Source organism: Homo sapiens, chromosome 22 (genome assembly GCF_000001405.40).
Source record: "Homo sapiens chromosome 22, GRCh38.p14 Primary Assembly".
Classification (NCBI taxonomy): Eukaryota; Metazoa; Chordata; class Mammalia; order Primates; family Hominidae; genus Homo; species Homo sapiens.
Genome location: NC_000022.11, coordinates 49,854,502 through 49,881,052, shown reverse-complemented (window position 1 = coordinate 49,881,052; position 26,551 = coordinate 49,854,502). Strand labels below are relative to the sequence as shown.

The 26,551-nt window shown below is 46.2% G+C and overlaps 2 protein-coding genes and 1 long non-coding RNA gene across 8 annotated transcripts in view, besides 2 other annotated features; 2 read left to right on the top strand and 1 right to left on the bottom strand.

Moving 5' to 3' along the window:
• Window positions 1-21,742, top strand: part of ALG12 (ALG12 alpha-1,6-mannosyltransferase) — a 59,128-nt gene extending 37,386 nt beyond the window's left edge. The window contains exons 10-11 of one of the 2 annotated variants that reach the window (XM_017028937.2): window positions 12,804-12,917; window positions 20,762-20,838. In XM_017028937.2, the coding sequence (XP_016884426.1) occupies window positions 12,804-12,891 (88 nt within the window). In that variant the 3' untranslated portion in view covers window positions 12,892-12,917; window positions 20,762-20,838. Of the gene's footprint in view, window positions 1-12,803; window positions 12,918-20,761 lie in introns of both variants that reach the window. The other variant, XM_017028936.2, reaches the window with a different exon arrangement.
• The window catches only part of ZBED4 (zinc finger BED-type containing 4), a 37,231-nt gene that overhangs the window by 9,028 nt on the left and 1,652 nt on the right, over window positions 1-26,551 (bottom strand). Inside the window, exon 1 of one of the 5 annotated variants that reach the window (XM_047441684.1) lies at window positions 6,776-7,949. The exons of 3 other annotated variants lie outside the window; for them this stretch is intronic. The gene's annotated coding sequence lies outside the window, so the exon portion shown is untranslated. Of the gene's footprint in view, window positions 1-386; window positions 1,641-6,775; window positions 7,950-26,551 lie in introns of those variants that run through there. One more of the 5 variants, XM_024452312.2, reaches the window with a different exon arrangement.
• Window positions 21,576-22,113: an enhancer, noted in NCBI's record as "H3K27ac-H3K4me1 hESC enhancer chr22:50252588-50253125 (GRCh37/hg19 assembly coordinates)". NCBI's record gives its function as "activates a minimal SCP1, AML or CMV promoter by ChIP-STARR-seq in primed H9 embryonic stem cells {active_cell/tissue: H9 hESC(primed)}" and the evidence as "EXISTENCE:reporter gene assay evidence [ECO:0000049][PMID:30033119]".
• On the top strand, window positions 23,397-26,551 carry LOC124905147 (uncharacterized). The gene is made up of 2 exons (XR_007068156.1): window positions 23,397-23,559; window positions 25,767-26,551. It is a non-coding gene; the product is annotated as an uncharacterized LOC124905147 (long non-coding RNA).
• Window positions 23,716-24,376: an enhancer, noted in NCBI's record as "H3K4me1 hESC enhancer chr22:50250325-50250985 (GRCh37/hg19 assembly coordinates)". NCBI's record gives its function as "activates a minimal SCP1, AML or CMV promoter by ChIP-STARR-seq in naive H9 embryonic stem cells {active_cell/tissue: H9 hESC(naive)}" and the evidence as "EXISTENCE:reporter gene assay evidence [ECO:0000049][PMID:30033119]".

The following is a 26,551-nucleotide window of genomic DNA, read 5'->3' as shown; positions in this document are numbered from 1 at the left end:
CATTTTTAAATTCCACATATAATGTCCAAAAGCATGCATGAAAGCATGAAATAAGATAAAATTTTTAAAATATGCTTGTTTTAGTATACAGGTACACAAGTATACAGGTCTTAAAAAGAAGACCTGTATACTGAAAGCTGCAAAACACTGCTGAAATTAAAGGCTTTTAAACAAATGGAGAAATATACCAAGTTCATGGATTAGAAAACTCAATGTTGACATCAGTATTTTCCCAAATTGACCTATAAATTCAATATGATCCCAGTCAAAATTCCAAAACGCTTTTTGCAGTAGCTGATAAACAGAAGTCTAAAATTGATATGGGAATACAAAGAATCAGGAATAAATAAAATTATTTTGGAAAGAAAGAACAAAGCTGGACTCACAGTCACTTCCACTTCTAGCCATGATGAACAAAACAAAGGAAACCAGGTTGACCTCAGACAACTCATAAGCCAGACGCCGTGCACGAAACGACGTTTTCAGACGCTGAGAGAGAAGAGAAAGCACAGGACAGTGATCACAGAAGTGTGAAAGCTAAAGAGGGAGCCCCACCTGCCCTCGCTCACGGCGGGGCTTCCAGGCTTCCAGGCTGCGGGGCGGGGAGTCGGAACTTGGCAGAGCCCGGTGGTCTCGAGCATGTCCCGAGCGCGGGAGAGGAGGGAGCTACGCAGACCTGCGGAGGTTCCTCGTGTCTTTGGCTGAATACTGATCTGCATCTGCATTTGAGGAAACCACCCTCAGAGAACCAAAGGGGAAAAGAACTGCCAGGGCTCCCTGGAGGCTGGGAACAGCTTGTGTTTCCACCACCAAGAGTGAACAGCAAGCAGGGTCAGAAGGGTCCGGACTGAACAGTGGGCTTCACAACAACGGCCGCTCTTTTAAGCCGTGTTAGGAGCCACCCGAACACAGCTTAAACGCCAGCCTCAAGAGGAGGAAACGGTCTATGATTAACTTTACTACAACCTAAAACAAGTCTCAACAGCATTTAAAGGAATATAACAAAATCCTGCACCCAATAAAGTAAAATACAAAATGGCTGACAAAAACAACCAGACCTGCGATGAAGCGGGAGAAAACCACCTCTGACCAGGAGAAAAACCAACCAATAGAAACAGGCCCAGACACTGACCAGGAGAAAAACCAACCAATAGAAACAGGCCCAGACACTGACCAGGAGAAAAACCAACCAATAGAAACAGGCCCAGACACTGACCAGGAGAAAAACCAACCAATAGAAACACGCCCAGACACTGACCAGGAGAAAAACCAACCAATAGAAACACGCCCAGACACTGACCAGGAGAAAAACCAACCAATAGAAACAGGCCCAGACACTGACCAGGAGAAAAACCAACCAATAGAAACACGCCCAGACACTGACCAGGAGAAAAACCAACCAATAGAAACACGCCCAGACACTGACCAGGAGAAAAACCAACCAATAGAAACACGCCCAGACACTGACCAGGAGAAAAACCAACCAATAAAAACAGGCCCGGACATAAGACAAATAATAAAATTAGTGGACAAGGACATGAAAACAGCTATTGTAAGAGCGGATATAGTGGTGTGTGCCTGGGCAACATGGCAAAACATCGTCTCTGCAAAAAAATACAAAAATTAGGCTGGGTTTGGTGGCTCACACCTGTAATCGCAGCACTTCGGGAGGATGAGGCAGACGGATCAACCGAGCTCAGGAGGTTGAGACCAGCTTGGCCAATATGGCGAAACCTGGTCTCTACTAAAAATACAAAAAAATTAGCGCGGCGTGGTGGCGCGTGCCTGTAATCCCAGCTACTCGGGAGGCTGAGGCAGGAGAATCGCTTGAACCCGGGAGGCGCAAGTTACAGTGAGCCGAGATTGCGCCACTTCACTCCTGTTTTTTTTTGTTTTTTGTTTTTTTTTTGAGATGGAGTCCCACTCTGTGGCCAGGGTAGAGTGCAGTGGCGCGATCTCGGCTCACTGCAACCTCCACCTCCCCAGTTCAAGTGATTCTCCTGCCTCAGCCTCCTGAGTAACTGGGACTACAGGCACGCGCCACCACACCCGGCTAATTTTTTTGTATTTTTAGTAGAGACGGGGTTTCACCATGTTGGCCACGATGGTCTCTATCTCTTGACCTCGTGATCTGCCCGCCTCGGCCTCCCAAAGTGTTGGGGTTACATGCATGAGCCACCACGCCTGGCCCACTCCCGGCTCATTTTTTTTATTTTTAGTAGAGACAAGGTTTCAGCATGTTTGCCAGGCTGGTCTCAAACTCCTGACCTCAGGTGATCCACCCACCTCGTCTTCTAATTCTTTTACTAGTGTATTTTGAAGAGCATAAGTTTTTACTTTTGATGAAGTCCACTTCACTCATGTGTTCTTTATGGATTGTGCTTTTGGGCTTGTACCAAAGAAATCTTTGCCTAATTCAAAGACTTTCTTCTGTGTTGTCTTTTAGAAGTTTTAAGTTTTATATTTAGATCTCTGAAGGATTGAAGTTCATTTTTTTGCACATGGATGTCTAACTGTTCCAACACAATCTGTTGAAAGGACAATCCTTTCTCCATGAAGTGCCCATGTAACTTTGTTGAGAATTGGTTGCTCGCATATGTGTGGATCTATTTCTGGATTCTCTATCGCTCCACCAATCTCTTCTTCGGTGTTTATACTGACCACGTAACCCAGCTGTTCCACTCCCAGTTATTATTACTCTTGAGAAATGAAAGCCTATCTCTGTATGAAGACTTTTTTTTTTTTTTTTTTGAGACAGTGTCTCACTCTGTCACCCAGGTTGGAGTGCAGTGGTGCGTTGGCTCACTGTAACCTCCGCCTCCCGGGTTCAAACGATTCTCCTGCCTCAGCCTCCTGAGTAGCTGGAATTACAGGTGCCTGTCACCACGTCTGGCTAATTTTTGTATTTTTAGTAGAGACGGTGTTTCACCACGTTGGCCAGGATTGTCTTGAATTCCTGACCTCAGGTGATCCGCCCATCTCGGCCTCCCAAAGTGCTGGGATTACAGGCATGAGCCACCACGCCTGGCCTCTGTATGAAGACTTACATATAAAATTCACAGCAGCTTTATATGTAGTATCTAAAAACTAGAAGACAAATTGTGATACAGCCCTACAATGGATCATTATGCAGCAATAACAAAAGAATGAATGGATACACGCAACACGGATGAATCTCGAAACAATCCTGCAGAGTGCGGGAGGCCAAAGGGCAGGTCTGTGCTGGCGGGAGGAGGGGCCACGAGGGGCAGAAGACACAGTCAGGAGGGATGTGTGTGTCCATGCCACCTGCAGGATGGGTTTATGGATACACAAGCATGTCCATATGAAGATTCATATGCAAATGTTCACAGCAGCTGTTTAGGCATACTATATGGATATGGATATATATTTATCAGATTATGCACTGTAAATATGTGTTTATTGTATATCAATTATACCCAAATAAAGCTGTTTTTTAGGCCAGGCGTGGTGGCTCACACCTGTAATCCCAGCACTTTGGGAGGCCAAGGTGGGAGGGATCACACGAGGTCAGGAGTTCAAGACCAGCCTGGCCAACATGGTGAAACCCCGTCTCTACTAAAAATACAAAAATTAGCCAGGTGTGGTGGTACATATCTGTAATAATAGCTACTTGGGAGGCTGAGGCAGGAGAATCATTTGAGCCTGGGAGGCGGAGGTTGCAGTGAGCTGAGATCGCACCACTGCACTCCAGCCTGGGCGACAGAGCAAAACTCCATCTCAAAATAAATAAATAAATAAATAAATAAATAAATAAATAAATAAATAAATAATAAAGCTGTTTTTTTGAGACAGACAGGGATTGTCAGAATGAATAAAAAAGCAAGACTTCCTATATGCTGCCTACAAGAAACACGCTTTAAACATAAAGACACAAATAGCTTAATCTTTTTCTCGTTTAGGAAAAAAAATTGCAGCTCACTGCCAGCGTTCATTTACTTTTACATAAACACACTCTTTGAGGCTGAGGTAAATCTGACTGATTTTCAATGTGAAAATAAAACATAAAAACTGTTCTTGGAATTATTTCTAAACAGAACTAACATCAGAGTCATCTGAATCATCAGAATCATCTATTTTGGAAAAATCGGATTCATCAAAGGAATCTTTGGCCAGCAACTGGGAACGATGTTAACACCACGTGTGGGAACGCTGTGTCTTCTGGGATCTGACGTTTTCAGCAACTGAGAATTCCTATATTTTGTAAATGGAAATACCACTACTAAAAACAGAATGCCATAAATAGAACGAGGTCTTTTGTTTCCAAAGTCGATATACTCGAGCAATGCAGAAGTCATCATGAAAACGAGAGATTTCATGGCAAACTTATCTCGGGGTAAACGCTGCAGCTGCAAGCACTGCCGGTGAGTATTCTCAGGGCAAACAGGAAAAGGGCTAAAAACAAATGGATGAAAAAAGGTATACCATGTTAATACAAACCGAGAGAAAGCTGGAGTGGCGACATTAATACCGGGTAAAGATTTAAGAATAACATACTAAATATAACAAACAACATCACAAAATTATAAGGGGGTCAATTCATCCAGAGCGCATTCTCCCAAAGGTGCATATACCTGCAAAGAGACCTTCAAAACCACGAAGCAAAGCTGAGAGAACTAAAGGGAGACAAGGTAAGTCACCATCACGGATGGAGATTTCCACAGAACTATTCAATAAGTAACCAACAGGTACATAAAAATCAGTAAAGACACGGAAGATTCAAACAACACTATTATCCAAGTTGACCTAATGGGCATTTATTGAGCAGTCCAACAACAACGGAATACACATTATTTACAAGTGTACACAAAACCTTCACCAAGACAGACTCTTCTCTGGACAATAAAGCAAACCTCAATACATTTAAAAGAACCAAAATCAAAGAATGGTTTCTGACAAAGGAACTGAATAAAACTTCAGCAATACAATAATATCTGAAAAAATCCAAACTATTTTCAAATAAATAACACTTTTATATTACACGCAGTATCAAAGAAAAAACACACAAAAGTAAAGCAAATTTAATCCCAAAGTAAGCAGCAAGAAAAAAACAATAAAGATGTGAAATCAATGAAATAAAAAAAAAAGAAAAAAAATCAATGAAACCAAACTCTGGTTCTTGGGAAAGAGCAATAAAATTGATAAGCTTCTACAAATATTGATTAGAGAAAAAAATGGAGAAGACAGAATTTACCACTACCAGGAATGAGAGAGGGAGTATCACTACAGATCCTACATATATAAAAGGATAGTAAGGAAACATATAAAAAATTTTATAAAAATAAGTTCTGCAACTCAGATGAAATGGACAAGCTGGGCGGGGTGACTCACGCCTGTAATCCCAGCTCTTTGGGAGGCCAAGACAGGTAGGTCACTTGAGGTCAGTAGATCGAGACCAGCCTGGCCAACATGGTGAAACCCTGTATCTACTAAAAATACAAAAATTAGCCGGGCGTGGTGGTGCGCACCTGTAACCCCAGCTACCTGAGAGGCTGAGGCAGGAGAATCCCTGGAACCCGGGAGGTGGAGGCTGCAGTGAGCCAAGATGGCGCCACTGTACTCCAGCCTGGGTGACAGAGCAAGACTCCGTCTCAAAAAAAAGAAAAAAAAAAAGAAAATAAATTATGCAACTCAGATGAAATGGACAAATTACTTGAAAGACAGAAACTACAAAAACTCAAGAATAAGCTGATTAGCCTTTTATTTACAAATTGAACTTATAGTTGAAAAACCTTCCCACAGAGAAACTCCCAGGCCCAGATGACTTCAGTGGTGAATTCTACCAAACATTAAAGAAAAAAAAAATACAAATTCTTCCAGAAAATAAAGGAAGAAACACCTCCCAATTCTTTATATCAGCAGCATTACCCTGATACCAAAACCAGCAAAGACATTACAATAAAAGAAACAACTTGATACCCTATGAGCACAGAAAAAAAATCCTTAACAAAACTGTAACAAATTAAATTAAACACTATGTATCAAAGATAATACGTCATGATTCATCACAGGAATAAAAGGTTGGTTTAATAGTCAAAAAATTAAAACAGGCCGGGTGCAGTGGCTCACACCTGTAATCCCAACACTTTGGGAGGCCAAGGTGGGCAGATCACCTGAGGTCAGGCATTCAAGACCAGCCTGGCCAACATGGTGAAACCCCGTCTCTATTAAAAATACAAAAATGAGCCGGGCATGGTGGCACGCACCTGTTTTCCCAGCTACTCAGGAGGCTGAGGCAGGAGAATCGCTTGAACCTGGACGGGAGGTCGAGGTGCAGTGAGCTGAGATCGAGCCATTGCCCTCCAGCCTGGCGACAGAGTGAGACTCCGTCTCAAAAAAAAAAAAAAAAAAAAAAAAAAGGCTGGGCATGGTGGTTCACGCCTGTAATCCCAGCACTTCGGGAGGCCAAGGCAGCTGGATCACGAGGTCAGGAGATCAAGAGCATCCTGGCCAAACTGGTGAAATCCCATGTCTACTAAAAATACAAAAATGGTGGTGGGCCCCTGTAATCCCAGCTACTTGGGACGCTGAGGCAGGAGAATCGCTTGAACCTGGGAGGCAGAAGTTGCAGTGAGCCGAGATCGCACCACTGCACTCCAGCCTGGGAGATAGAGCAAGACTCCATCTAAAAAAAAAAAAAAAATTAAAACAATACATTAGCAAAAGGAGGAAAACCATATGGGCACGTCATTCGATGTAGAAAAACATTTGCCAACACTTCTACCTCTATTCACAGCAAAAACTCTGCACAAACCAGGAATGGAAGGAAACATCTTCAGCCTTATGAGACGCATCCGGGAAACAGTGCAGCTCCCATCATACTCATCAGTGAAAGAGTGAGTGCTTCCCCTCGGCATATTCTATACAGCACTGGATGGGAGTCTGCCCAGGCAGGAGGCGGCTGTCAGAGAAAATCAGAACTGCCTTGATGGGCAGACGACAGGGCCATCGATGTCATAAAGGTTGTAAGGCCTCTACAAAACAGTACTAGAGCTAAAGAGTAAGAGAGTTCAGAGAGGTCACAGGACTCAAGCTCATTCTTGTTCTCGGCACGGGCCAGCTCCCCGGGAATGTCCTAATTTCAGGCATCTCTCCTCCCTGGTGGCAGCGCCGCCCCATTCCCCAGCCCTTATGTTCTCATTCCAGGATGATCTTGTCCTCCACGCTCCTCGCTCCAACCTACAAGGTGGGCCGTGCATCCCTGTGGGTCGAGAAGAACCCAGCTGTTCTCTCTTCAAAACAGACATCTCATTCTAGGTTGGTCTTGACTCTCTCTGAGCCTTTCTTGGGGCTGCAGGGTGGGGGTGATGAGGTGGGAAGACCCAATACCTCATATCACCTCATATCACCGCACCTCGCTTTACTGCTCTTTGCAGATACTTTTTTTTCCCCCAAATTGGAGGTTTGTGGCAATCCTGCATCAAGCACGTCCATCGGTGCCATTTTCTAACAGCAGGGGCTCTCCACCTGTGTGTCACATTTTGGTAATTCTGGCAATATTTCACACTTTTCCATTATCATGGTATCTGTTATGGTGATCTGTGATCAGTACTCTCTAATGCTACCATCGTAATTAACGTGAGCCACCACAAGCCACACCCATGTCAGACAGTGAACTTAACTGATAAATGTGTGTCCTGACTGCTCCATCAACCAGCAGTTCCCCGTCTCTCTCCCTCTCCTCCAGCCTCCCTCTTCCCTGAGACACACGAGAAATTAGAATTAGGCCGATTAATCCTCTACATGTTCAAGTGAAAGGAAGTATCACGTCTCTCATTTTCAAAAGATAGAAATGATTAAGCTTAGTGATGAAGGCACGTCTAAAGCTGAGAGAGGCCAACGCTAGGACTCTTGTACCAACAGCCAAGACGTGAATGCAAAGGAAAGTTCTTGAAGGAAATCCCTGGCTGTAGTGGCTCATGTCTGTAATCCCAGCACCTTGGGAGGCCAAGGCAGGTGGACTGCATGAGCTCAGGAGTTTGTGACCAGCCTGGGCAACATGGCAAAACCCCAGCTCTACAAAAAATTAAAACATTGGCTGGGCGCGGTAGTTCACGCCTGTAATCCTAGCACTTTGGGAGGCCGAGGCGGGTGGATCACAAGGTCAGGAGATCGAGACCATCCTGGCTAACATGGTGAAACCTGTCTCTACTAAAAATACAAAAAAATTAGCCGGCAGGTGCCTGCGGTCCCAGCTACTCGGGAGGCTGAGGCAGGAGAATTCGCTTGAACCTGGGAGGCAGAGGTTGCAGTGAGCCGCGATCACGTCACTGCACTCCAGCCTGGGCGATGGAGTGAGTCTCCATCTCAGGAAAAAAAAAAAAAAATTTAAAAATTAGCCAGGCTTGGTGGCATACACCTGCAGTCCCAGCTACCTGGCAGGCTGAGACGGGAGGTTCGCTTGAGACCAAGAGGTTGAGACTGCAGTGAGCTGTGATCGTGACACTGCACTTTAGCCTTGGTGACAGAGCAAGACCATATCTCTAAAAACAACAAAAACAAAACCATGTGTGATTCCTGGGACGGGAAAATACCAACATTACCAGGAGAATGGGTTGAAGGAAGTTAATTCTAACCCTCATGGATGACTCTGAGGGGCTCAGACTTCAATGGAGGAAGTGACTGCAGATTTGGTGGAAAGGGCAAAAACTAGAATTATACACAGAACCCAAAGATACGGCGGAATTGCTGTACTCTTAGGATAAAACTTGAGTGAATGAGGAGCTGCTGCTTAGGGATGAGCAAAGAAACTAGTTTGTTGAGATGGAATCTACTCCTGGTGGAGATGCTATGAACACTGTTAAAATGACAATAAAGATTTTGGAATATTCTATAAGCATAATTGATAAAACAACAGCAGGGTTTGAGAGGATTGACTACAATTTTGAAAGAAGTTCTACTGTGGGTAAAATGTACACTATGGAGAACTCTTTCATAGAAGAGTTAATCGATGTAGCAAACTTCATTGTCTTATTTTAAGAAATTGTCAGCCGGGTGCAGTGGCTCACGCCTGTAATCCCAGCACTTTGGTAGGCCGAGGCAGGCGGATCACGAGGTGAAGAGTTCGAGACCAGCCTGGCCAACATGGTGAAACCTCGTCTCTACTAAAAATACAAAAATTAGCTGGGCATGTTGGTGTGCACCTGTAATCCCAGCTACTGAGGCAGGAGAATCGCTTCAACCCAGGAGGTGGAGGTTGTAGTGAGCTGAGATCACACCACTGCACTCCACCCTGGGCGACAGAGTAAGACTCTGTCTCAAAAAAAAAAAAAAATAAATAAATAAATAAATTGTCACAGCCACCCCACCCTTCAGCAATCTGCACTCTGATTGGTCAGCAATCTGCACTCTGATTGGTCAGCAGCCCTGGACACCAAGGCAACATCTCCTCCCAGCTGAGATTATGAGTTGCTGAAGGCTCAGATGACTGTTGGCATTTTCAGCAACAAGCTTTTTAAAAATCAAGGTAGGTACATTGTTTTAGACGTCATGCTATTGCACGCTTACCAGACTACATTATACTGAAAATGTAACTTTTTTTTTATTTTTGAGACAGAGTCTCACTCTGTCGCCCAGGCTGGAGTGCAGTGGCAATATCGGCTCACTGTAAGCTTCGCCTCCCAAGTTCAAGCTTTCTCCTGCCTCAGCCTCCTGAGTAGCTGAGATTACAGGTGCGTGCCACCACACCCAGCTAATTTTGTATTTTTAGTAGTGACGGGGTTTCACCACATTGGCCAGGCTGGTCTCGAACTCCTGACCTCGTGATCCACCTGCCTTGGCCTCCCAAAGTGCTGATGAATTAACTTTTAAAAGAGAATTCTAAGCCAGGCACAGTGACTCACGCCTGTAGTCCTAGCACTTTGGGAGGCTTGAGACCAGCCTGGCCAACAGGGTGAAACCCCATCTCTACTAAAAAAAAATATATTAGCCAGGCATTGTGGTGCACACCTGTAATCCCAGCTGCTTGAGAGGCTGAGGCATGAGAATTGCTTGAACCCTGGAGATGGAGGTTGCAGTTAGCCAAGATTGCACCACTGCACTCCAGCCTGGGTAACAGAGTGAGACTCCATCTCAAAAAAAAAAAAAAATCTATCTTTTAAAAATACTTACTGAAATGTAGCTACGTGAATTATGATTTTGGGTATTTGCTTCAAAATAATTGAGTGGATTGTAACAGAAACAAAAATTGACAACTGGGACCTAACTAAAGAGCCTCTGCATAGCTGAAACTATCACAGAAAAGGAGACCATCGACAGAATAAACAGAAAACCCACTGAATAAGAGAAAATATCTGCAAACTATGCATCTGACAAAGGTCTGAAATCCAGAATCTATAAGAAGCTTAACAAGAAATAAAATAACCCCATTAAAAAGCAAGCAAAGGACATGAACAGATACTTCTCGAAAGGAGACATAAAAGTGGCCAACAGACGTGAAAAAATGCTCGACATCAACAGTCATCAGAGAAGTGCAAATCAAAACCACAACGAGATACCATCTCACACCCGTCACAATGGCTTTTATTAAAAAAAGAAAAAAATAACAGATGCTGGAGAGGCTACAGAGAAAAGGGAAACTCAAGCACTGCTGGCAGGGATGTCAATGAGTTCAGCCACTGCGGAGAGCAGTGTGGAGTCTTCTCAAAGAACTAAAAACAGAGCTACCATTGGACCCAGTGATGCCACTACCAGGTATGTACCCAAAGAAATAAATCATTCTACAAAAAAACCCCATGTACACATGTATGTTCATCACAGCACTATTTACAATAGCAAAGACATGGAATCAACCTACGTGCCTAGCAATGGTGGACTGGATAAGGAAAATGTGGTATATCCACACCATGGAATATTATACAGCCATAAAAAAGAACAAAATCATGTCCCTTGCAGCAACATGCATGCATCTGGAGACCATCATCCTAAGTGAACAAACACAGGAACAGAAAACCGGATACCACATGTTCTCACCTATCAGTGGGAGCTAAGCATGTGGTACACAGGGACATAAAGATGAGAACCACAGGCACTGGGACTGCGAGAGTGAGGAGTGAGGGAGGGAGGAAGGGAGGAGGGGACAAGACTGAAAAACAACCTATTGAGTACCATGCTCACGATCTGGGCGACGATCATTCTTATCCCAAACTCAGCATCACGCAATATACCATGTCGTGAACCTGCACATGTGCCTGATGAATCTAAAATCAAAGTTGAAATTCTTTTTAAAAACAAAACTTTTTAAAAAGTGAGTGGAGGACACAGATGAAATGGGAATGGCTGTGAACTGGTAATTCTGAAGCTGGGGATGCGTGCACAGGGTTTATTATGCTACCCTTTCCACTTTTACGTATATCAGATTATTTCCATGAAAGCTATTTTAAGAAAAAAACCAATGAGATACACTGCTGACTTTTTAAGAGAAACAATGTAAATCAGGAGACAGAGGAATGACATCTTCAAAGCTGTGAAAAATGAGAGCCAAACCAGAATTCAGTAAGCAGTACAAATATTCCCTGAGGAATAAACAGGAACTAAAAAACACCATCAGACAAACCAAACACAGAACGTGTCTCTAAGTGACCCACACTAAAGTCCACGCAAGAGTGTTCTCCAGTCAGAGATGAAATAATCTGGTCTGGAGGACGAGCGCTGCCAAAAAGGCCCGAGGTGGATAACCACCACGCGGGTACGAGGTAGGCAGCCGTGCACTCACTGTTACGGGTGCCTCTGCCTTTAGGCCCTTCCAGCGGAAGCACTAGAACCCATAAACACACACACCAACATGCATGTGTGTACGTGAATCAAAGCCACAACTTCACACTGACACCGCCAACTCTGCCCTGACCCTGAGATCACAAGACCGAGCATCCCCCTTTCCACAACCGTGATTTTTCTTTTTTTTTTTTTTTTGAGACAGTTTTGCTCTTGTTGCCCAGGCTGAAGTGCAATGGCATGATCTCGACTCACCCAACCTCCGCCTCCTGGGTTCAAGTGATTCTCCTGCCTCAGTCTCACAAGCAGCTCGGATTACAGGCATACACCATCACACCCAGCTAATTTTTTTTTTTTTTTTTGTATTTTTAGTAGAGACAGAGTTTCTCCATGTTGGTCAGGCTGGTCTCAAACTCCCAATCTCAGGTGATCCGCCTGCCTTGGCCTCCCAAAGTGCTGGGATTACAGGTGTGAGCCATTGCGCCCGGCCTGCATCCGTGACGTTTCAATCCACCTCTGGGAGGCTGGGCTCCCACCCTCCTGGCAGATTTCCTCATTTGCTCAACCCTACAACACATGCACGAAGTAGCTGCAGAATTACTAACCCAGGCCACCAAGAAAACAAGCCTTCTAGCTGGAGATCACAATTCATTTATAATTTTTATCTTTTTACTTGGAGGTTTATAATCACATCGTGTCCAAGAGTTTCTTGGGTCAGTTTTCATTTTTCTTTTTTGTTGGAAGAGACAGTCTCGCTCTGTTGCCCAGGCTAGAGTGCAGTGGCACAATCTTGGCTCACTGCAACCTCCGCCTCATGAGCTCAAGTAATCCTCCCACCTCAGCCTCCTCAGTAGCTGGGATGACAGGTGTGTGCCACCACCCAGTTAATTTTTTGCATTTTTTGTGGAGATGGGGTTTCACCATGTTGCCCAGGCTGGTGTCGAACTCCTGATCCTGGGTGATCCACCAGCCTCAGCCAGCTTCCTTCCTCAAGTGTAGTTATTTTATTCATTTGAAATATAGTAAGCTCATTTGTTTGCTTGTAACACTGCCTATATTTTATTTTTTAGTTTCCCCAAATCTCTCAATAAAAGGAAAACTAGAACAGTAAAACCACAATCCTCTGATGTTATCAACAACAACAAAAAAGAAGACTGACAAGGTCTTTCCGTTAACCAACAAATGTAAGTGGAAGGGACAAACCATGAATATGGGTAAGTGGGTCCCTGATTTAATGACGGTTCAACCTACGAACCTGCAACTTTACGATGGTGTGAAAGCCACTGGCATTCAGTACAAACTGTACTTTGAATTCTGAATGTTGATCTTTTCCTAGGCTAACAACATACGGTGTGACACTCTTACATGAGATATTCAACACTTTATGACAAAACAGGCTTTGTGTCAGGTGATTCTGCCCAACTGTGGGCTCATGTAAGTGTCTGAGCACATTTGAGGGGGGCTGGACTAAGCTATGATGCTCGGCACATCAGGTGAATTAAATGCATTTTCCACTGAAGATATTTTTAATTGATGATGGATGGGTGTATCAGGATGGAAGCCCCCTTGCAGTCAGTATTACAAGGCCTAGATGGTATTAGATCTGGCAGCTGGAAAAGAAAGATGTCATCAAGCGTGTGATACACCGAGCATCCCCAAGTAGCCAACAGGTATCACTGGACGGCCCACAGAACCAAGCTGCTGAGGTGGGTGACTTTCTGCACATCTGCAAAGCAGAGGAGGGTCAGGGTCCAAGGTCCGATCTGGGGCAAAACAAAACAGCTGACACTTCTTTCTGGGGCAAAAACTCCCATGAAGAGAAGCTGCTGGGCCTACCAGGCCACCCAGAACTAGACAGAAAGTCAGCGAGAACAGAGAAGACTTGAGCAATACCGTCAGCCAACTGACCCAGTGGATGCACCGCAGTGCCTCCCCAACCGCCGCTCCCACCGCCGCCTGGCACACGCTTCTTCAGGGGCCCAGGGAACCTCCCACAGTATAGACCACATGCTGGCCCATAACATACGCGTTGGGCATTTCAAAAGGACTGAAACTATACAAGTCCTCTAAACACAATGGAGTTAAATTATAAAGCAAAAGAAAGAAATCTGGGAAATAAGCAATTATTTGAAAACAAAATACAATTCTAAATAACTCACGGGTGAAAAACAAACCGTGAGGTAAACTGGAAAGTGTTTTCAACTGAACGACAATAAAAATACAACCCACCAAATGGATGAGATGCAGCTGAAGTGGTGGTTAGCAAGAAACTGAAAGCTCTACATACCTGTGTTAGAAAAGATGACCTCCAGTCAATAAAGTACTCACCTAAAAGAAAACACTAGAAAAAACAGCAAACCAAACCAATGCAAGCCAAGGAAGGCAGGTGACCTCCTGAAGGCGCAAGAGGTAAGAACGTGCATTTGCCGAGAGCCACCGTTCAAGAGCCGCCAGCATCTTGATTTAGCCCAGTGAGACCCATCTCAGATTTCAGATTCCTAATTTCCGTTTGTGTGAAGCCACTCGGTTTGTGGTAATTTGTTAAAGCAGCACTAGAAAACTAATATAATAGGCAACAGAAAAGAATTCTGTCACATCTCACAGAAGGGTATGAGAAAAACTAAAGAGCAGAAAAACATCACTGCAGATAACGAAATATGCTCACAGAAAAATGTGACCTCAGATTAAATGAAAACGGTAACTTCCTCTTGCAAAGAAACTAAAGAAATTAAGAAAATGATATAAAGAAACAACATAAATCAGGATAGAAAAATTCTGATGTGAGATTATAGGTCCCACAAAAACACTAAAAATAAAAGTAAAATATGACTTCAAGAATGAAGACCTAAAAAAGAAGAAACAGGAGAACAAACTCCACAGATGACAGCTTAAGATAAATGAAAGGGAAACACAATTTTTTTTAATGAAAAAGAAATGAGGGGATTAAAAAAGACTCAAGAGAAACGGACCAATTTAAAAGACACGTAAAGAAGATCCAACATATGTACAATCAGAACAGCCACCCCAGAAACAGGAGGGGACAGGGCAAGAGAACAGAATACTAAACACTTAAAAACCTTTCCTGAATTAGAAATTGTCAAGCCACATAGTGAAAGGGACTGAGAAAATCCATCCTCAACTAATAACACTAATTTATTTTCTAACAAAATTACTAGACTTAAATCCTTTGGGCTCTCAGGCAAAGTACAAAGTCACTTGGAAAGAAAAAACTGTCATGATTTTGACAGCAATGCTTTATCCTAGAAGACCATAGAATAACATAGTTAAGACATTCAAGGAAAAAAGTGAACTAGCCAGGCACAGTGGCCCACGCGTATAATCAGCATCGGGAGGTGGAGGCGGGAGGGCTGCTTGAAGCTGGGAGTTTGAGACCAGCCTGGGCAATATAGTGAGACCCCCAGCTCTACAAAAAATTAAAGGGAAAAAAAAAAAAAAGAAAATGTGAACCAAGGATTTTATACTAAGCCAAACTGACCTTCGAGCACAATGAATGCAGAAAAACTACTATCAAGATGCAGGAAGTCAAGACATCTTGTTCCATGAGTCCTTCCTGAGAGATCTACCGGAGAGCAAACCTCAACCAAAACACAACAGAAACATGAGGACCCAATGTGAGCATTTATTTTTATTTTTGTCCACTCTGTCGCCCAGACTGGAGTGCAGTGGTGTGATCTCTGCTCACTGCACCCTCTGCCTCCCGGGTTTAAGCCATTCTCCTGCCTCAGCCTCCTGAGTAGCTGGGATTACAGGTGCCTGCCACCACACCTGTATTTTAATAGAGACGGGTTATTATTTTTTTTTTTTTGTATTTTAATAGAGACGGGGTTTCACCATGTTGGCCAGGCGGGTCTCGAACTCCTGAACTCAGGAGTTCCGCCCGCCTTAGCCCCCGAAGTGCTGGGATTAGAGGCGTGAGCCACTGCGCCCGGCCCCCGTGTAAGCATTTAACACACACAGTCACGTGCTGCACAGCAACACCTCACTCGGCAAAGAGCAGCGCACCCCACAGTGGCTACATAAGATAACGACACCATCTGTTTACTGTGCCTTTTCTGTTTGGACACACAAATACTTGCCACGGTGTTACAAATGCCTACAGGCTTCAGTGTAGTAACTGCTGTGCAGAGTTGCAGCCTCGGAGTGACAGGTTATACCATCTGGGTTTGTGTAGGTGCACTCTATGAGGTTCACACAACGACAACATCGCTGAGTAACGCATTTCTCAGAACACACCCCTGCCCTTAGTGAGACCCGGGGCTGCCGTCACTTGCAGAGCTAGGACTGAATAAGGGTTTGCAGGGGAGAAACACAGCACAATAGCTGGACTCCGTGGTTTCTGACTTCACGGGGGGGGGGGGGGGCTTGCTGGGATAGAACCCCATGGTCAATCAAGGAGCATCTGAACTTCATCGATGGTTTGACTCGCAATCTTTCAGCTCTACGACGGTTTAATCAGGGCTTTTTTTTTTTTTTTTTTTGGAGACAGGGTCTCACTCTGGCGCTCAGGCTGGAGTGCAGTACACAATCTCAGCTCACTGTAGCCTCAAACTCCTGGGCCCAAGCAATCCTCCCGCCTCAGCCTCCTGAGTAGCTGGAACTACACCTGAGTGTCACCACACCTGGCTAATATTTTAAAACATTTTTTGTAGAGAGGGGGTCTCACTAGGTTGCTGAGGCTGGTCTCAAACTCCCAGGCTCAAGTGATCCTCCCACCTCAACCTCCCAAAGTGCTGGGATTATAGGCGTAAGCCACCATGCCCAGGCTCCAATCAGGTATTAAGTGCATTTTCGACTTTGATGGGTTTATCGGACGTGGCCGTGTCCTGAGTTGCGAAGCATCTGTAGTACGTAATGGCTACACACTCTGTAGTTGAGACCCTGCATAACTACACAGAATGGGAAGACTTAGGCAAAAAATATCTTCACTGTTTTCAGTAATGATATAGGTGGCAGTTGTACTGCCATTGTTATTTTGAGATTGTGATGTTTGTAGCAAGAGATAAAACAGATGAGACATTATGCGATATTCCAATTCTCTCATCTCCACTGTCCTTGAGACCAGCACTCTCAGTGGAAAAAGAGGACGGAGACGTAAGATTAAAGCACACCCATGTGAACGCCCTGCCGTCAGAAAGCAGATCACACACTCCAGCAGAGGCCTAGAACCAGCGGCCAACCCAACAGCAGTGAGCACCTGTCACATGCAGACTGTGGTTTTGAAACTTCCAAGCCCTTAAAAGAAACCAGAGCTGAAGAAATGGCTTATTTCAGGTCTGGAGCCGGAAAAATACAAGATGAGCACAGAACATATCAGACAGCCAGAAACCTCTGAGAGAGTTCAGGAATGATGTCAAAAGGATCCAGGAGCCAGCTTGTAGGGGCTCTCACTGTCCAAAGAGGACAGAATTTAACATCCCAAATATGTTTAAATTCATTAGTTCACCAATACCAACATCAAATCCCTAACTGGTCGCCTCTGGAGGCTGATAGGAAAATGATTCATCATTGTGAAAACTGATGAATTTAAAAAAAGAATCAGGCATTTATCTTCAGTTTTCTCCATGAACTATAACACCAGAGAGTGGATAAGAAGAGGTTTATCTTTAATAGTTCATCTACTACATAAAGAAGCAATAACTCAGCCAGAACATCACACTTTTTTTTTTTTTTTTTGAGACGGAGTCTCGCTCTGTCCCCAGGCTGGAGTGCGGTGGCGCGATCTCAGCTCACCGCAACCTCCGCCTCCCCGGTTCAAGCAATTCTCCTGCCTCAGCCTCCTGAGCAGCTGGGATTACAGGCACTCGCCACCACGCCCAGCTAATTTTTGTATTTTTAGTAGAGACGTGGTTTCACCATGTTGGCCAGGATGGTATCAATCTCTTGACCTCGTGATCCGCCTGCCTCGGCCTCCCAAAGTGCTGGGATTACAGGCGTGAGCCACCACACCCGGCCTACAAAAAAATTTTTAAAACTTAGCTGGGTGTGGTGATGCGTGCCTGTGGTCCCAGTTATTAGGGAGGCTGAGGTGGGAAAATCACTTGAGCCCGGGAGCACCACTGCACTCCATCCTGGGCCACAAAGCAAGACCCTGCCTCAAAACCAACCAACCAACCAACCAACCAAACACAATCTACAAGAAACCAAAGGATAGAGGAACACACTGGGCCTCTCCAGAAGAATGCAGCCAGCAAAATCTAGACCGTGAGATGCACGAGTCCAACCACCAAGTTACCTCAGAAAATACTTCCACGGGAGGTGGGGTGGATAATGTAACCTGTAGATTCAGACTGAAAGGCTGGCCGGGTGCGGTGGCTCACACCTGTAATCCCAGCATTTTGGGAGGCTGAGGCAGGTGGATCACCTAAGGTCAGGAGTTCGAGACCAGCCTGACTAACAGGGTGAAACCCTGTCTCTACTAAAACTACAAAAATTAGCCAGGCGTGGTGGTGGGCACCTGTAATCCCAGTTACTCAGGAAACTGAGGCAGGAGAATTGCTTGAACCCAAGAGGCAGAGGTTGCAGTGAGCCGAGATCACGACACTGCACTCCAGCCTGGGCGACAGAGCAAGACTTAAGTCTAAAAAAAAAAAAAAAAAAAAAAAAAAGGAAAAACTTAACTAATATTTAGAGGTACTCAGTTCAGTCAAAACAACAAAGAATAAGGAAGTAGCTGCTGTAACAGTAAGATTGAGGCAGCCTCTGCTGGGAGGGGCTGGGGCGGCACGCACAGGGGCTCTGGAAGCTGGCAAGCACCTCTTGACCCAAGCACCAGTTACAACTGTGTCCATCTTATCATATGACTCATTACGCTAGACACTGATTTTATTCAGTTTCTGTATCTGTGCCACACTTTAAAATAAAAAAGGTTTAAAAACACACTTATAAAGCTACACTAGGCTGGGCGCAGTGGCTTACGCCCGTAGTCCCAGCTACTTGCAGGCCACGGTGAGAGACTTGAGCACAGGAGATCAATTCCAGTCTCAGCAAAAAAGTAAGGCCTCCGCCGCACAAAAAATAAGAAAGACAGAGAAACCACCTTCCAAGCGACTTTGCGGCAGAAGCGTTGGGGCCGCTCCGTATAGGTTCCACGCACAGGGCCAACCGCCCTCGGGGACTTACTAACAAAATGAGCCACTTGCATTCAATGATCTCAACTGCTCCGTGCTACATCCAATTCAGTAAAGCACAGTTTTTTCATTTTTCACATTCAGATTGAAGCAAATTAAATGAAAACCCGTTCAAGATACCCCTTCTCACCCTACCATCCTGGCAAAAATCCAAATGCTTAGTAATGCCCTCTGTTGGTCAGGCCCTCTCCCACAGTGCTGACAGGGTGCAGGCCTGTGCGGGGGAACTTGGAAGCACTCACCAAAATTACATGTATCCTCCCACCCAGCAACCACACGCTACGAACAGACCTGAAGACAGTCCTCACCAGAAACACAAAAAATGCAACACACGGCAACGTCAGTCACAGCGGCATCCCACGGCAAAGGATCAGAGCCCGTCAATAGGACCCACACATTCATACATGTGCTGAGCAGAAAAACCAGACACGCAGGGGCCAGCCACGGCAGCTCACGCCTGTAATCCCAGCACTTTGGGAGGCCAAGGCAGGTAAATCGTTTGAGCCCAAGAGTTCAAGACCAGCCTGGGTAACATAGTGAGACTCCCATCTCTACAAAAAATTTGAAAAAAATCAGCTGGCATGGTGGCATGCGCCTGTAGTCCCAGCTACTCAGGAGGGTACAGTGAGAAAATCACTTGAGCCCGTGAGGTCGAGGCTGCGGTAAGCCAAGATCAGGCCACTGCACTCCAGCCTGGGCAACAGAGCCAGACGCTATCTCAAAACAAACAGGTCAGGTGTGGTGGCTCACATCTGTAATCCCACCACTTTGAGAGACTGAGGCAGGCAGATCATTTGCAGCCAAGAGTTTGAGGCCAGCCTGGCCAACACAGTGAAACCCCATCTCTACTAAAAATATAAAAATTAGCTGGGCGTGGTGGCGGGTGCCTGTAGTCCCAGCTACTCAGGAGGCTGAGGCACAAGAATCACTTGAATCCAGAGCGAGACTCCATCTCATAACAAACAAACAAGAAAAACCAGACACACACAGTGTCAACAGCCCATGCTAACTTTTGTGAAAGACAGGAGGGGAAATGAGTTGTGGGTGTGTTTTGCTTACTTTTACAGGACGTAGCAGAAGTAAAAAGCGTTGCCTAGGCCGGGCATGGTGGCTCATGCCCATTATCCCAGCACTTTGGGAGGCCGAGGTGGGTGGAATGCCTGAGCTCAGATCGAGACCAGCCTGGGCAACATAGTGAAACCCCATCTCTACTAAAGTACAAAAAATTAGCTGGGCGTGGTGGTGGGCGCCTGTAGTCCCAGCTACTCGGGAGGCTGAGGCAGGAGAATTGCTTGAACCCGGAAGGCCGAGGATGCAGTGAGCCAAGATCGAGCCACTGCACTCCAGCCTGGGCAACAGAGCAAGACTCTGTCTCAAAAAAAAAAAAAAAAAGGTTGCTTAGAAGAGTGGTGGGGATAAGAAAGGTAGCTTTTATGTAGTTCTGACCTTTATAACAGGTAATTATTTTGTACATAAAATTTGTAAAAAATCCTAAATCTAAAAATGATCTGAAACAAATGGGCAACATAACCAGAGAAAATAATATTTGTCTTATTTCTTTCTTGGGAAAAATAAATAAAATAAAAAATAAAACAAGAGTATTTGTCAAGGAACTTTAAAATACAGCACTTTATTCATCCAAAGTGGAAGATAACTAAGGACAAAAAGAACTCAACAAAAACCTGCAAAGTTAACTAAGCAGTTTTCTTACAGGAGTGGTATTGTAATTCTACAACCTACTGTATGCACATTTTAGCACAAAACAAGGCCAATGATATTATTAAGATTTTTCAGAATAACATATAATTTAAGAATCAAAGAAATTAAGTAAAACTATATATATGTATTTTTTGTTTTGTTTTGTTTTGTTTTTGATACAGGGTCTCACTCTGTCGCCCAGGCAGCAGTGCAGTGACGTCATTGCAGCTTACCACAGCCTCAACCTCCCAGGCTCAAGTGATCCTCCCACCTCAGCCTCCTGAGTAGCTGGAACTCCAGGCACATACCATCATGCCCGGCTGATTTCTGTATGTTTTTGTAAAGATGGGGTTCTGCCATGCTGCCTAGACTGGTCTGGAACTCCTGAGCTCAAGTGATCCTCCCACCTCAGCCTCCTGAGTAGCTGGAACTCCAGGCGCATACCATCATGCCCGGCTGATTTCTGTATGTTTTTGTAAAGATGGGGTTCTGCCATGCTGCCTAGACTGGTCTGGAACTCCTGAGCTCAAGTGATCCTCCCATCTCAGCCTCCTGAGTAGCTGGAACTCCAGGCACATACCATCATGCCCAGCTGATTTCTGTATGTTTTTGTAAAGATGGGGTTCTGCCACGCTGCCTAGACTGGTCTGGAACTCCTGAGCTCAAGTGGTCTCCCCACCTCAGCCTCCCAAAGTGCTGAGATTACAGGTGTGAGCCACCACACCCCGCAAAACTACATAATTTTAATGAAAATTAAAATTAATTTTAACTATAATTCAAATTGACTGAACTCACAATGTTTTAAATACATATTTTCTAGCTGTGTCCGCGAACAGGGCATTAAGCAATAACAGACAAGCACAATGACTACGTCTATGGCCTGGACCTCGGTGTCCAGATGCCTTTCTGCACTAAAAGGAACCCAGGCGCTGTGGAGAAGCAGCTGACGCAGGCCTGGGAAAGACATCACCGTGAGCCTGGGACACTGGGCCAGAAAGGATGCATTCCCAGGACCACGTATGGAGTGAAAAGGACACAGGGGCCAGCTTGGAAGGGGCTCCCAACTAGTCACATTTATAGCTATTTGAGCATCACAAAACAAAAGGCTTTACTAGATTATGACATGGAATAAATAAAATCCACTAGTCCACCTTGATACTCAAGGAAGACAAAGGAAAAGTAAAAATTTGCCCCCACAGAGGTGTCTACTAGACCATCTTCCGCTAAGAATTGGTAATAAAGAGAAAGAACTCAGCATTTTCTAAGACGTAACAAAGAAGGGAAACACAGACAAAAATAAAGAAAAAAAGAACAACAGCATACTAAAGCCAAGGTGCCACTGCCCACAGGTTCTGGGGAGACCAGCAAACAGCATGTGGAGGTCTGATGGGAGCAGAGCGTCCACACACCCCGAGACACCCCCTCATCTAACTCGCCAACTGTGGGGGGCAGGGACACAATTTAAAGGGCCAGTGAGCAAAGTCGCATCCGTCCTCATGGGACAGCCTCCGCCCACAGTGCAGCACACAGCATCACCTGCGCCCCAAACGTGCCCCTGTATCAAATCAGGCCTCCCACCGCCAGATCACAGGGGGTGCTCCGGGGGCACCGGAACGCAAAGAGACCTCACAGCCACTGTGACACGTGGCCCTGTACTCGATTCTGGTTGGGAAAAACAGCTAGTAAAGACGTTGGGGGACAACTTCAGACCGTGGACTGGCTACTGGATGACGCCAAGGGACACAGTCACGTTTTGTAGACGCCATCGATGACGCGACTGTCATTAGACAGTAGAATGTCCCTTTCCCTTTCTTAGGAGAAAGAACACTTAGAGAAGTGTCCAGATATCTGCAGTTTCCTTCAAGACAGTTCAGCACGTGCCAGGTGGCAGCTGGTGGCAGTCACGGTAGCTCCAGCTGGGGGCAAGGGACGTAGGAGTGCCAACTCTGTAAGTTAGAAACTTTATAATAACCTTCAAACAACAGAAATATATTCGTGTTCAACTCAGAGCACACGCACTCTCAACAAGCTGTCGAGTATACCCAGGGAGGCAAAGAGCTATGCATCAAGACTCCGGGCCTGGTTCAGACGGGGACATGGCAGTTTCTCCTCCTGAGGACATAAACTACCATCGGGGCTACACCTGAGTAGCCTTCACCTATTCTGGGGGTGCACAGCAGCATCAACTGCCACAAATTCCAGCAGGAGCCATGGCTCACAACAGCTGCCCACACAGAAGCCAACATCCAGGTCTGGGCTAAACTGAGAAGGGGGCCGGGCACGGTGGCTCACGCCTGTAATCCCAGCCCTTTGGGAGGCAAAGGCGGGTGGATCACCTAAGGTCAGGAGTTTGAGACCAGCCTGGCCAACATGGTGACAGCCCATCTCTACTAAAAATACAAAAACTGGCTGGGCGCGGTGGCTCACGCCTGTAGTCCTGTCCTGGCACTTTGGGAGGCCAAGGTGGACGGATCACGAGATCAGGAGATCGAGACCACCCTGGCCAACATGGTGAAACCCCGTCTCTACTAAAAATGCAAAAAAAAATTAACCGGGCACGGTGGCGCACGCCTATTGTAATCCCAGCTACTCAGGAGACTGAGGAAGGAGAATCGCTTTAACCTGGGAGGTAGAGGTTGCAGGGAGCTGAGATTGTGCCATTGCACTCCAGCCTGGGTGACAGAGCAAGATTCCATCTCAAAAAACAAACAAAAATTAGCTGAGTGCGGTGGCGGGTGCCTGTAATTCCAGCTACTCAGGGAGCTAAGGCAGCAGAATCACTTGAATCCAGGAGACAGAGGTTGCAGTGAGCCGAGATTGTAACACTGCACTCCAGCCTGAGTGACAGAGTGAGAATAAACAAACAAACAAACAAACTGAGAAGGGGAACCCAAAGCTAAAGGTCAAAGACAGTGGCAAGGGGTCTGACTCCAGAAACCCGGAGTCAGAGCTGCTCTGTCAGACGTGCTCAGGAACCCAGGTAAGGGCGTCTTGGAAACGGCACCTTCCAGAGCAAGCCAGCGACCACGCTAAGGTCAGCTGGTCCGTGTTCCATCCCTGAAATGTTCTGGGTCACACGACAGGGTCATGTGGATTGTTCTGCTAGGTGGTTTTGTGGGTCCCCTGTATTTAACACCAGCACCCTCGCCGTGTACCCATACCTTGGGGGTCCGGGCAGTCCCACTAGTGACAGGCCTGACATCGCAGCTATGGCTGAACGCTGCTGGGGAGTCTCTCACTTACAGGATGTGGAGCATGGCTTCTATGACGGAGCAACCAGAGCTCTCCGAAATGCACATGCTCCCGACCCTGCTCCCTGCAGCAAACAGGTGGAGCAGAGACCACCAGGTGGGCCTCGATGAGGAGCAGCTTTGGAGGAAGTCAGCCCCTCAGGGTTTGTCTGTGGAGGTGGCAAGGCAGGAAGGGCGGGGGGCCAGGTCCTCCCGACCCTAATCAGGTAGGGGGCTGCAGCAGTCACAACCCCATCCCCAGGGCCAGGCCAGCATCAGCTGTTTCTATTGCACACAGAGTTTGCTGGGAAAGACATGGGCCATGGCTGCTGAAAAGCCTTCACCTAGAATGAGGTGGGAAGCTGGCTGGCATTGCAGCGCGGCCTTCACCTAGAACGAGGGGTGGGAAGCCGGCCGGGATTCCAGCGCGGCCTTCACCTAGAACGAGGGGTGGGAAGCCGGCCGGGATTCCAGCGCGGCCTTCACCTAGAACGAGAGGTGGGAAGCCGGCCGGGATTCCAGCGCGGCCTTCACCTAGAACGAGGGATGGGAAGCCGGCCGGGATTCCAGCGCGGCCTTCACCTAGAACGAGGGATGGGAAGCCGGCCGGGATTCCAGTGTGGGTCATTTAGGCTGCATGTCCCCTGAATTCCGAAACAACCCGGGGGAGCTGGGAGGCGGCTTCAGCAGCAGGCGCTTGGGCCGGGCAGGAGGTACGCACTGGGATGCCGTGAGGCTGCCTCTGCACCTCATGGACAATGCTCTCCTGGGGCTTCCGCCATCGCCCCCAGACCCTTCAGGGCAACCTCCTCTCCCTATGAGGTCTCCGGAGCATGCTTTCCTGAGAAACTGGGATTACCCCTGCTCTCACCTGCCGGTGTTTCTCCTTGAAGCACTTACTGAGCCTTTTTCTCTGGTTTACGCTGCTCCTCACCACCACCATGTTCCCTACGGCCAGGGCCTTCTTTGAAAACCACCATGGCCCCAGCAGGCAGAGAGGCAAGCACCTCTGTCTCTCCTGCTCCCCTCCGCCTCAGAAATGGCAAAGAGCTTATTTTATTCCTAACAATGCCTCCCAGAATTTGAACTACAAAAGCACATATCCAGTGATGACCAAGGAAGGGATCTGAGGTACTGCAGAATGTAGAAAAACCTAGGTGCTAAAAAGTGGGGAGCAGAAGGGCCTGGAAGGCTGGGATGCAGAGAGGCCCGAATCCTTGAAAGGGCTGAAGCCAGAGAGCTGCTGGAATCCACAGACACTAAAAGAGAAAGCCAAAACCAAACCGCTAAGGGGTGTCACGGGCTAAAGGCACAGTGACTTTCTTACACAGCCAAATGTAAATAAGAGCAATTCCTATAGGTACATTCTCAGGTCCTGAGATTTAAACAGTGAAGGAAACAACGTTGGTAAGGAAGGGCCAGCTTGGCCTCTACCCCAGGGCTGGGCAAAGCCACGCCCAGCTGTTTCACCTGCTCCCTCCTCTCAAAAGACAACCACCACACCAAAGAGAATGAGACCAGAAGCTAAAGCCAGGCAAAGAAAAAAACGCAAAACAAAGTGAAGGACGGCACTGACCACGGTCACTTCCTGCTCCTCATGCCGCCAGGAGTCCACTCCCCAGGGCTCCTCACCAAGGATCTGAGACACACACACACACACACCTTTCGCTAAAGAAGCTGCTTCTCAGCTCCTCTGCACACACACAGAAGTCAGTCCGCTCCCCTAGTAATTTTTTTAGTCTTTCTGCAAGGTGTTATGGACATACTTTGCACAGCTGAGTTACTCACTGTGTGTGTGGAGGGGGTTGGGGAGGAGGTAACCTTAAAGAGCAGAGGTTTTACATCCAACAACATCAACCACCTTATTCAGGAATTACCTGGACAAGAGTGTGTGTTGGGGGAGACCCTGTAACCACCTGTCAAGTGGACTAAAAGTCTTAGGTTTCTTTCCATATAGATTAACTGTGTCCTCACCTCAAAGACCGGGCCTCTGAAGCTTTTTCAAGATTCACAGAATCTCTCTTAACTTGTGCTAGATCTTTTCTTGAAAAAAAGCCAATCATGACAAGCAGATATAATCCGTTTAAGGACTACGGGAAGTGTGCAGCCTTGTACGGACGTCCCATTGGAAACCCTCGGAGTATGGAATCAAACTCCTGTAAACTTTCCTCTTGCAAAGTAACTTTGTTTAGTAATTGCAATTAATTCATAATCAAAATGTGGCTTATTCATAGCACTTAAAAAAAAATCCCAACCAAATCCTTCCTAGCCTCAATTTTGTCACTATGAATGACATACACAGAAAAAATAAAAAACATTTCTGTGTAAAAAGTCGCAGGATGCCCTTGCTTTACCAAACTGGCCTCACTATGAGGTCTGAATGGATTTCTAAAAACGTAATCTGATCAGAGTTAACTTCAAAATAAATAACTTCCCTTTCGACCAACACGAGAACACCAACAGAAGCTTCTGACGGCTCAGCTTGGCCGGGACGTGTTTCCACAGAGGTGCCCGGGTCTACCAGGGCCACCCGGAATAGAAAGGCGCAGAAGGGAGCCCGAGGGGCTGCGATTCTCTTAGCAACGAAGGCGGTGTGGGCCACACAACGGGACAAAAGAAGAAACAAAACTGACTGCGAGCTCATTTGGGTGTAGGAAAACCACTGCAGTCGAAAAACATTTGAAATTATGGTTCGCAAGGCAAGTTACATTTTTATTCATTAAATGTGAACGGTCATCCCCA